Genomic DNA, 12,286 nt, shown 5'->3' with positions numbered 1-12,286 from the left:
ACACTGCAATGAATGACTTAAACTACAATGCTCTGTGTAATCTACCTTGAGATCTAGTCTAGTCCCAGTGAACTGGCCATGTGACTTAGGAAAATCATTGAAATTTTCAGGCTTCATCCAGAGTCCCACCCCTCCTAGACTATTTACCGTGTGTTAGCCACACTGGGCTTTAGGGTCTTTGCATCTGTGTGGTTCCTTTTTCTCTCAAGGGTTTTTACCAGGCAGTTCCCTTTTACATCTCACATCTTCTCCCCTAGCATCTACACACCAAATGCCACTTTCTTAGTGCTATGGTCTGAATGTTTGTGTTCCCTGAAAATTCATATGTTGATTCCAAATTGCCAATGTAATGTTATTAGGAAGTGGGGTCCTTGGGAGGCTATTGAGTCATGAGAGTGGAACCCTCATGAATGGGGTTAGTGCTGGTATAAACAAGGCCCGAGGGAGCTAGCTTGCCTCTTCTGCCATGTAAGGACTTAGTGAGAAAGTGTCATCTGTGAACCAGAAAGCAGGCCCTCCCCATATATGAATCTGCTGGTGTCTTGATCTTGGACTTCCCAGTCTCTGGAACTGTAAGAAATAGATTTCTGTTTTTTATAGGCCATTTGGTTTATGGTATTTATTATGGCCCTAAACAGACTACGAGGACACCTAATGAAACTTCACAGATGAAGTGGCATGTCCCCATTACAGGCTCCCATAAGATTTTGTACATTTCCTTCACATTGCATATGACTTTGTAATTATATATTTATTTGGTGATTAGTTATTTATTCTCTCCCACGCCTACTAGACTTCAAGTTCCAGAAGAGGAGAGAGAGGCTCCTTTCTTCACCACTTATTCACCACTGTATCCCCAGAGCCAAGCATAGTGCCTGGTACATAACAGTTGCTTAATAATGGTGGAATGAGTGAATTTGCCCTGTGGTGTCTCAGCATTGCTTTGTGGCTATCAATATGCGGAACCTGTTTTGTGAAAAAAAAAAAAAAAAAAAAAAAAGGGTGGAGATTTCCGGCTTTAAGGTTCATGATATTTAGGTTTTAGGCATTCACGGTAACATTCACTGAAACCCAAGATGGGTAGAAGAGTCTGTGTTCTCCTCTGGCACACAGCTGGGGTATGGTGGAGGTTGGGAGAGAAGGAGACAGGTAGAGGTGGTGCATGGCAGACAGGATGCTAAGGAGAAAGGTGCAAAAGCAGCAAGAAAAGTAGAGCTTTTGGCTTCCCCTGAACTTTGCACCTGACAGTCCTGGGCAGGTAAACTACCAGTCAGAGAAGGAACAGCAGGATGGAGGCTGGGCAAGGAGAGAGGGCAGGGACATGTGATGCTTGAGAGGCTGCAGGGGGTAGAGACATGGAGCCCATTTTTTGGGGAAATGCTTTTCTAGCTCTGTACCTCATGGTTTCCATGAGAAATAAAACAATATTTAGTGGTGCTTAAAGTTTCCATTTTCTCCCTGATTCAGCTATTATAATATTGTATATCAGCAGGCCAAGAAACCAGAAGGCGGGATAAGAATCAACACTTTGTGAGAGCCTTCAGTGGGCTAGGTACTATGCTAGGCAGTTTCATAGTTTCATTAGTTTCTCAGCCTGTCCTCTCTCCCTCCCTCCCTTCCTTCCCCTCTTTTGCTCACCCATTCACTCATTTATATGTCTCAAGCACTGTGTTAAGTGCTGAGAATACATTGATGATTATGATTGAGACCTGCATGGTCCCTGCTGTCATGGGGCTTACACTTCAGTTTTTAAAAAAATCCTCCTACCAATCCATTACAATCTGTATTATCCCTATTTTACAGGTGGGGAAATAGTCTCCAATAGGTTAAGCTGATTTACCTGAGGAAATGGCCTGGATTCAATATTTAATCTATACACCATTATTAGATATGTAGAATTTAGAATTCCTTCCCACTCAGGACACTTTGCAGCCCTTGGGAAAGTCACAATCTCTACTAAGACCCTCACTGTAGAGGAAGCAGTAGGAATAGGGTACAGGTAAAGGAAGGGGCGTGGTGGGGGCCTCTGTTCAGACATAGGAAGCTGGCAGAGGCATTGGTGCCCAGTTACATCCCTGTCACCCTCACCATTCAGGAACATGTCAGAGTCACCTACTGCAAGTCCTGGGGATTTTTCACACAAAGGGTTGCTCTCAGCCTGGCTAGAGGGAACATGAATGGGCCAGGGAGGGAATACTCCTGGGAAGAGGTCTCAGCCAATGACAGCAGAGATGGGGCTAGAGGATAAATACCCTCAAGGGGCATGTCTTACACCATCTCCCAGAGTTCCCCTGCAGGATAAGCCTCAGTTGCCCACAGGAGTCACCTGCTCAATAATGCACGCTTCACTGCCTTCCTTCCCTTTCTTCTCTCATTTCTTCACTTCCTGGGATTGCCTCTAAAATTAACTACTTGCCCTCCAGTCCTTGTCTCCGGCATGCTTCTGGGAGACTCCATACTAAGAAAGGCAGTAACACTTCATACGCTAGCACGTTCTAGTGTGGACCCTACTATTTAATAGCCATATAACCTTGGAAAGATCATTTAATTGAGAACTCAGTTTCTTTAACCTTAGAGATGGGGAATAATATCTTCCATGCCTCCCTCATGGGGTGAATGTGGGGCAAGGATCAAATGAGAAAATGTCTTTGTAAATTATACAGTCCACAGAAACCTGGTGCGGAGTTGGTATACTTAGAGATTTTTCGTGGTGTTAAAATGAAATAGTTAAAGTGCATGTGAGTCCCCAGTTCAAAGGCCACCTCAGGCTGGGTCCCCAGGGATGTGTCTTCTTAACAACATGCCCTAGTTTTGTGGTCAACCAGTGGCAGGGCTGGGATTTCATCCCAGGCAGTCTGCAACCAGAGCCAGTTCCCTTGGCCACCTCACTACACTGCCTCCCTGGAAGAGTAGAGCAGTAAGACTTGGGTTCAAGACTGAGCTCTGCTGTTCATTTACTCCTGCTTCAGTGTGCTCATCTTTAAAGTGGGGATTAATGATTGCTATCTCTCAGAGTGGTTGTGAGGATTAATTGAAATAATGGTCATGCAAAAGCTTTAAAAATTACAAAGTATTATGCAAATATTCTAATTTTGATGAGGATTACAGAGAAGACCCAGAAGAAAGAGAAGCCAGCATGCTGACTTAGAGTGATGGGCATAGCAGAGGTGACAGAGAACAGTGGGAGGCTCACGAAACCCATGTCCTTGTCCTCCTGGGAACAGAGCAAGATTGCATTTCCCAGCCTCCCTTGGAGTTAATAGGGATTCCTCACTGAGCTCTGGTCAGAGGAGTGTAAGTGATGCTTACTTCTTTCCAGCCTGCCCCTAAATCCTCCCACATGCTCCTCCTTGCTCTACCTTCTTCCATCTTCTGCGGGCCAGATGCAGAAGTTCTATGTAGTAACCCCAAGACTCAGCTAGAAGGCAGCTCCCTAGGCTGCCTCCCCAACAGCCAGTTGAGCTTTACATGAGTAAGAAATACAATTGTCTTCTGTGATGCCACTGAGAGTGGGGTTATTTGTGAGCATACCTAATCGAGCAGATGACAGTATATACCTGGTTTTATTTTATTTTATTTTATTTTATTTTACTTTTTTGCCCAGACCAAATAGCAATCACATTCTAGAATTCAAGAGTACATTAGTTGGGTAGAGAATCCTTTTTTAAAATAAGCTGACCAAAGATGAAATTCTTGCTCCATACTGTTTTAACTAAAAAACAAGCCAACAAATAATTTGCTGTCCCTTTAACTTCACTTTCTAACACAATGAAAAACAGGATTTAGAAAATAATAATTCTTTGAAACTTTGGGGATACATGCTCTGGTATTAATCCTATTCCCAAATCTCATTATCCTATGGAGAATCCCTGATACAATTTACAGGGGCTTGAGCTCTATTTGAAAAACAAAAAGTGCAATCATCTCTTTATGATGGAGGTTTTTCCTGGGGGGTGTGTGTGATTTGTGGAATGTGGTTTAAGTTAAGCTTTCGCAGCGGGGGTACTTCATATGAACAGGGATTACTCTCTCGGCTAAACCCTTTAGAAGGTCACTGTGATCAGCAGCAAAGGGCAGTATATCTATTTTAGACACCAGGCTCAAACTTGGAATTGAAGAAAACCACAAAATGAAACCTGCCCCATGAAAAAAAGGGCACCTTGGTTTTGGGAGGCAGGAAAAACTGCGGGTCAGGAATCTCAGCTATCAAAATCACCGCAGCAACCTCTAAACAACCGGAAGGGGTTTGTCATAGTGTGAAATTTAAAGAGCGGAAATATGGCAGGAGCCCACTGAATCTCTGCAGCATTATGGTGGCTTACTTTATATTTCCGATTAAGAAGAGTTTCTGGGTTTAGCATGCAGGAACTGGGTTCTTTTTCTTGCTGCAGAATTTTTTTGGCGAATCCAGATGGTAGAACTTCATGAGAATCACATTCCTTTCTGGGGTCTGAGAGATCTAGGAAATCTACTTTATTAGGCAGTTCGTTATTTCCTAATTGCAATCACTCAAATCACTTGTCCTCCCTAGATTTATAAACACATAGACACTGTATTACCTGAGACAAACAGTGACATCCTCTTCCCAAGCTCTCAGCTGTCCTAAGTTCTGGGAGGAGGACCAAGAAGATCTGTTGTTTGCACATCTCTTTAATCAAGTCTGCTGGTCCTGGGCCTGTTTCCCTTCAAGTCACATCAGTGAGGCATCCCTTCCCCACTTATTCTGTGAGGATAGCCACACTAGCTTATCAACTAGGCTTCTTCTTTACAACAGTAAATGTAATGCAAGCTCGTTTAAGTAAAAATGGGAGATTATTGACTCATCTGGATGAAAACTTGAGCTCTATATCCAGTTTCAAGTACAGTTTGACTCAGGGCTCAAATAATGGCACCAGGATCCAATCTGTCTTCCCACTTTTCTTTGATATCATTTATGTTTCCTTTTCTCTCTCTCTGTCTGTCTTTCCTCAATTTTAGCTCAAGTGCCCAGCTGGTTAAAATATGGCTGTAGTCCTAGGTCTTCCAATGTCTGAGGTTCAGGTTCATCAAGGAGCACCTGCTTCTCTTCTGGCATTTCCACAAAAGGTCTCCTTGCATTTCGCCAGCTCTGCTTAGAACCCATGTTGCTGCCTCAGACTAATCACTGTGGTGAGGAGTTTGAATGAGCCACTTGGCTGAAGTCACATGCTTCTTCATCCCTGTGCTTCATGGGGTGATATCTTGGGAGCAGCGGGAGAGCTGGTGTGCATCTGAACCACATGACCTAAGAATAGGTGAGCGTGGATTTCCAAAAGAAAATGAAAACAGGACCTGTTATGGATGCTGGATGACACTAAATCAACAAATGCCCATTGCCATTCCTGCCTAAACCTGTGCTCTACATTAAGACAACAGAAGTCTTTCATCCCCTAAATATTAAAGGGAGACCTCAATTTTCCCAACAGTTTTACTCAGAGTTGCTTGAGAAATTTTATCTAGAGTGTGAATCCAAGTGCCCTGGGGAAATAAAGTTTCAGATAAGAAAGATGTTTCTGGAAATATGGATATGCTGTCAGCCTTGTCAACTTAAAATAATCAAAATGGTCAGCATCAAATTTAAAGAGAGTTTATTCAAGTGCAAAGTGTGAGGATGGACCACCCAGAAACACCAACTCCAAAGGAATGGAGTAAGTGTTCACAAATAGGAAAGTTAAGGTTTCATGTATTTATACTGGCAGAGACAGAGGGGTTTTTAGCAGGATTACAACATTATTCAGACAAGGTTGGTGCATAGTTACAGCAATTTAATTGCTTATAGGCAGTTTTTCTCTTTAGAAAGGGTACATTTAACTATTTCACTTTGTTTTAAACAGAGGATGTAATAGTCATGAGTTTTCTATCATCTGGTCAGTTAATCTATAATCTGAGAACAGATGTTGTAACCATATTTGACTCAGATCACAGTCACATCTTTCTCAAGACTTAAAGCGTTTTGGGGGTTCCAATGGCTGTTACATTACATTTATCTTCACAGCCTTGAACAAGAAAGGGTAGAAAGAAGAGGTGTTGACTCCAGCAGCTGTAATATCAGCATTTGTCCCTGGGCACTGTGCTCAGCACATCCATGTGTTTCTATGTCCAACAGAGAAAATGACATTAGAAATGAGAATGTGAGATCACCAGCTCCTCCATGGATGGGCCAGGGACGTCTAGTCCAGACCTCACTGGGGGTCAGGGATCCTTGCTGACTCATTGTCCACTCACCAACCTGCCACTCTGCTCCTGGGTGGCCATTGTCTTCACTCTTTTTGAGTTTATAAAGACCTTGTGTTTCCTAAGATTTAGAAGCCTAAATGCACCACTTGTCATCTTTTGCTTACAGTTAGAATGAGTGGGTAAGTTTTTCCTAAAATTGGTCTTGCTGCCTTTAAATTTCATTCCCATGAGAGTGTAAGCTCCATGAAAACACGGAGTTTTCCTATTTTCTTCCCTGTTTTATCCTTGGTATGTAGAAAAGAGAGGGCCTCACATAAAATAGGCAGCCTCCCCAAATCCTCCACCTTCTCCAATCTTTTTGGGTTTGAACCTGGAGGTCTGTCACTGGGAGGGACTCTGGGAGGACTGTAGAGATGACAGTCACAGAGAAGGAGACAAGGCACCTACCAGCAGGACCCTGGCATGTAATGAAATCTGGAGGAGCCCTTTTGAGCAAGTGAACTCGTACTGTCCTGGCATGTACCCACACCTCTCTAACAGTGGTTTCAAAGATGTGGAGTCCCTACCGAGTGAAGGTGGATTAGAGCCTCAATGGCAGACATAGAGTGTGGCCCTTTTCTGGACCTTTCAGTGATGACTTCTTTAAGTGCTCTAGAAAAACACTAGGTTAATACGGTCCAAGAAACTGAAGAACAGCCTTGCTTCCAATAGAGAAAGTTCAGTTGAGTGTTTCTCCATGTCATATGGCCACTAGATATTCTCACTCATGCAATCACTTATAGGCACCCACCCCTCTCTGACATCATTGGGAAGATTTGCAGTTAATTCTGGCAGGTTGAAATCACACACTTCCCTCAGTCCACCACCCCACTCCCACCATCAGTGTATAGTAAAGGAACAACCAAAGGCAAAATCACAGGAGGACACCAACTAAATAGTTAATGCCCTCTTTCCTAATTCCTTTCTCCACTAGGTTCTGAAAAAACATGAAAACAGAAAAGAGGCTTTACAGCCATCTCTATCCCAGGCAGAAATTTGAGTATTTCTCTCTGGCAAAACCTATCAGTCCAGGAGAAAAGAATTAGTGGTATCGAGCCCTATCATGCAAAAAATTAGTGATCTCTAGCTCGATATCATGCCAGAGAAGCCCACGAGTCAACAGCCCTATGCTCTCCTTTTCCATTATTCCTCATTTTGTTCCCAAACTAATTTATGAGGGCTTATAAAGATACAATAGGCCGGGTGTGGTGGCTCGCACCTGTAATCCCAGCACTTTGGGAGGCCGAGGTGGGCAGATCACCTGAGGTCAGGGGTTCAAGACCAGCCTGGCCAACATGGTGAAACACTGTCTGTACTAAAAATACAAAAAATTAGCTGGGTGTGGTGGTACGTGCCTGTAATCCCAGTTACTCAGGAGGCTGAGGCAGGAGAATCGCTTCAACTTGGGAGGCGGAGATTGCAGTGAGTCGAGATTGCACCATTGCACTTTCTGCCTGGGCAAAAAGAGCCAAACTCCGTCTCAAAAAAAAAAAAAAAAAAGATACAGTAGAGACGTAAAATGGTGTCAGCAAACAGGCTGACAAAATGTAAACAAAATGTAAACTCACACTTGCTAAGAGGGATATACATTTGGCTCGCTCTTTCAATGGACAATTCTAAAAGGGAATGGGGCAGTTAGTCTTCGCTCTTACTATGCCCATCTGCCCTAGTGATGGTTGCCATGGAATCTTCATCAGGACTCCGCTTCTGTAGATTTAGTGTCTGGCCTTGGGGGTGCCTCAACAAAATTCCAGGAAGCTCTGCTTCTATTTTAACTGATGTTGCTCTGATGTGTCTGTTACTATTAGCATACACATTTCCGTTTCCATTACAGCTGATGAAGATACCTCTTGGGTAAATTCTGTCATGGGTTTTGACTTCTAACCCAACAATCCATTATATCCTTAAAGAAGATTAAAGAGATGATGGAGATTAATTTTAAAAAGAAAAAAAATTTCATTGTAAGGTTGACTTCTAAAGCTTTCCTGCTCCAGGGGGAGTATTGCTTAGATGTCTGTTTTGCCACAGAAGTTCTCATGAAGGAGCAAGGGTGATTTGCACTCTCTAGGCGTCATGTTTTCGAACTTCAGAGTGCTCTCACTGAAGCAATGATGTGATTCAACTCAACTCAGGCACACCCTGTGCACTATGCATTGACTATGTGGAAGCATAAAGCACATATATTTTCTTCTGAAAGCCCAAGAAGACTCCTGTCTGATGTTTCTCAAATATCTAACCAGTACCATATGTACAAGAGCACATCTTGTCTTGCTGCAAAATGGCCCAGCAAAGCAGAACTTTATCTCTTTATTAAAAATGGATAGGACAAAGAATTGTGTACACAAATAAGATATTTTTAGTTCAAATACTCTACTGTACACACTGAGAACATATATTTAGTACCTATCATGTAGCAGGCATTGTGCTAGGTGTTGGTGATACAATAACAAATAAAACCTTTCCCTCCTCAAGGTGTTCCCAGTCTAGTGGGGAAACATACATGTACATAAGCACTTCACAATAACACACATTGGTCAGTTTGTGTTTTCTTTCTTTCTCTCCCTTTTTCTTTCTTTCTTTCTTTCTTTCTTTCTTTCTTCTTTCTTTCTTTTTCTTTCTCTCTTTCCTTCCCTTCCCTTCCTTCCTTTCCTTTCCTTCCTTCCTTCCTTCCTTCCTTCCTTCCTTCCTTCCTTCCTTCTTTCCTTCCTTCCTTCTTTCCTCTTTCTCTCTTTCTTTTTTCTTTCTTTCTTTTCTTTCTTTCTGTCTGTGTCTCTCTGTCACCCAGGCTGGAGTGCAGTGGTTCGATGATGGCTTACTACAGCCTCCAAGTCCTGGGCTTCCTAACTCAGCCTCCCAAGTACCTGGGATTACAGCCATGCATGATCATGGCCAGCTGTTTTTTTTAATTTTTTTTGTTGCCCAGGCTTCAAGCAATGCTCCCACCTCAACCTCCCAAAGCACTGGGATTACAGGCGTGAGCCACCATGCCTGGCCAATACTTTCAAATTGGTTTACAATATGCTGTAGAAGTACATGAAGGATCATTGAATTATTTCCACAGGGCTGGAGGCGGGTCAAGGAAGAGTGATATTATGGAAGACCTAGTGGAGCCATGCTTATTTTTTCATTTATGCAATAAATGAAAAAGAAGAGTGAAAGGTAGTTTAATCTGAACATCTATTGAGTGCTGGGCAGTACATATAAAGAGATGCACAGTTCTTGGTCTTGAGAAGTGTGTTACCCTTTTTGGGTCTGAAATCTATTTGGTTTCCTATAAACACTATTCATTAGGGAAATACATACTTCTCATGTGTTGATAAGTATCCAGATGTTTAACTTAGGGACTTCAAGAGAAAATAATTTGCCCCGTCTGGGAAGGGAGGATGTGACCCCAAATACTCAAGGAGTAATTGATGGAGTAGGGACCCAGGTTTGTTCTGAGTAGCTCAGGAAGGCAGAGATAGGGCTGATGGGTGGAATTCACAAGAAAGCCGGTGGGAGCTCATTTTAATGAAGGCATTTTTTGATATCTAGGATTCCCAAACCTATAACTAACTGTCTTGTGCTTTGTTTCCTTCAAGTAAAGCAATGATGAAAGGATATTCAGGTGTTATGAAGGGTTGGACCAGATTCATTCAACAACTCTCTACCATGTGCTCAGCATCTGCTGGGTGCTGGGCATTTATTAACGAGTAAGTCATAGATCCTGCCCTCAAGGCAACAGGCAGGTACACAGGCAAGCACATACGGTATGACATGTGGCAGGAGAATTAATGGGCTAGGGTGGAGTATGGAAGGCTTCACAGAGGAGGTTACTTCTAAGCTGAGAGCCAAAGGAAAAGAATACAGCCTGGCCAAAGTGGTGGCAGGGGAAAAGTGGGAGTGCCCAGAGACCATGTCTAAGTCTAATAGTCCACGCAAAGTAATGGCAAAAGGGAGATTACTTTTGCACCAATCTAATACTAACAAAAATCTATATTTCACTTTTTATTCAGAGCAGAAGACAAATAAGATCATATTTGTTAGGCATTCTGTAAAAATTGCCATTAGCCTAATCATGTGGCCTAGTAGCTAGAATACCCTTGGAAGATACAGGTGCAGCCACCTCAAGGAAAGAGGTGGCCCACCTGGATGGCACTGCTGGCCCTGACTGCCCTCAGGCATCAGAGGGAGACTTAGAAAATTTTGATGAAGGCAGCTGGGCATGGTGGCTCATGCCTGTAATCCCAGCACTTTGGGAGGCTGAGGCGGGAGGATCACCTGAGGTCAGGAGTTCGAGACCGCTGGCCAACATGGCAAAACCCCATCTCTACTAAAAGTACAAAAATTAGCCGGGTGTGGTGGCGGGCATCTATAATCCCAGCTACTCAGGAGGTTGAGACAGGAGAATTGCTTGAACCCAGGAGGCAGAGGTTGCAGTGAGCCGAGATCGCGCCACTGCACTCCAGCCTGGGTGACAAGAGCGAGACTCCATCTAAAAAAGAAAAAAAGAAAATTTTGATGAAGGCACTCCAAGGTACAGGGCCCTCTATTAGGCACAGGTGTAAGGACAGTGCTGCCCACAACAACCTCCTTGGTTTTATCCATATAGGGGTACGCAATTGACACAGCAAGCCATTGGCACTGTCTGAGATCTTGGCAAATCCTCACATACGGGATCCCACTAATGGTCAGAAGGCTGCTTGAGGGTGGGCTGGGACCACAGTGCAGGGATTCTGGAAGTGAACTCTGAGGCAGATATTTGCATGCAGGAGATATACTGGGGAGTGGTCTCAATATCAGCAAGTGTGGTGGCTGAGGGCGGTGGTAAGTGAAGCAAGTTTGGGCAGAGAGAGAAGCTGAACCAAGGTGCAGTGTAACAAAGGCCACAGCTGATTCCAAGGGGAGCTCTGGAGCTGGAGGACCTTTCAGATTTATCCCAAATTGAGGCAAAGTGGGTAAACCGTAACCCACCCCTTTACCACACATCATTCCAGACTTGCGTGGGATTGCCTCAGGGAGGGTGTATGACCTTGGCTGAGACCATTCTCTTCAGCCAAGGACAGTTTCTGGTGAGAGACTCAGCTGAGAGCTGTCAACAGCCAACATTCCCAGGCACTATGGGAAGGAGTGCTTCCTCCTGGGGTGGGGGATGGAGGAGGTGGTTTAATCATCACAGGCAAACTGAAATAGGGATTCTTTGTCATGAATGATGAGCCATGACTATTAGGATAGTTCACAGTCAAACCAGTGGATGATACATCTAAGAAACCCCAAGTTTGTCTTGTTGAATTAAATAGTAAGAATTTGATGCCTTGGAGGAGTGCGTGTGGGTGCTTGTGTGTGTGTGTGTATGTGTGTGTGTGTATGTGTGTGTGTGTATTAGTCAGGGTTCTCCAGGGAAACAGAACCCATGGAATGTGTGTGGGTGCCTGTGTGTGTGTGTAAAGAGAGAGAGGAGAGAGATTAAGGCATTGTCTCAAGCAATAGTGAAGATTGGCAGGTTGAGAATCTGCAGAGTGGGCGGGCAGGCTGGAGACCTAGGGAAGAGTCACAGTCCAGAGGCCATGTGCTGGCAGAATTCCTGCTTGTTCTTGGGGAGGTCAGACTTTGTTCTGTTAATGCCTCCAATGATTGGATGAGGCCCACCCACACCCACACTAGGAAGCATAATCTGCTTGATATGGTTTGGCTCTGTGGCCCCACTCAAATCTCATCTCAAATTGTAATCCCCACATGTTGAGGGAGGGAGATGATTGGATCATGGAGGCAGTTTCCCCCATGCAGTTCTCATGATAGTGGCTGAGTTCTCATGTGATCTGATAATTTATAAGGGCTTTTCCCCCTTTGCTCACGCTCTCTCCTGTCACCTTGTAAATAAGGTGCTTGCTTGCCCTTCGCCTTCTGCCATTATCATAAGTTTCCTGAGGCCACCCCAGCCATGTGGAACTGTGAGTCAATTAAACCTCTTTCCTTTAATATAATGTGAATTCCTGGGTAATTTATATTATCCAGTCTCTGGTAGTATCTTTATATTAGGTTGGTGCAAAAGTAATCGCGTTTTTTGCCATTA

General features: G+C 43.8%; 2 annotated features.

Annotated features, from left to right (window-relative positions):
* Positions 3,668–4,379: an enhancer, noted in NCBI's record as "NANOG hESC enhancer chr4:53434310-53435021 (GRCh37/hg19 assembly coordinates)". NCBI's record gives its function as "activates a minimal SCP1, AML or CMV promoter by ChIP-STARR-seq in naive and primed H9 embryonic stem cells {active_cell/tissue: H9 hESC(naive and primed)}" and the evidence as "EXISTENCE:reporter gene assay evidence [ECO:0000049][PMID:30033119]".
* Positions 10,471–10,698: a silencer, noted in NCBI's record as "fragment chr4:53427991-53428218 (GRCh37/hg19 assembly coordinates)". NCBI's record gives its function as "represses an EF-1alpha promoter that drives an FKBP-Casp9 reporter gene in an ReSE screen in HepG2 liver carcinoma cells {active_cell/tissue: HepG2}" and the evidence as "EXISTENCE:reporter gene assay evidence [ECO:0000049][PMID:32094911]".

Source organism: Homo sapiens, chromosome 4 (genome assembly GCF_000001405.40).
Source record: "Homo sapiens chromosome 4, GRCh38.p14 Primary Assembly".
NCBI classification, from domain to species: Eukaryota; Metazoa; Chordata; class Mammalia; order Primates; family Hominidae; genus Homo; species Homo sapiens.
Note: the sequence above shows the minus strand (reverse complement) of the source record. Positions and strands in the feature narration are given on the sequence as shown.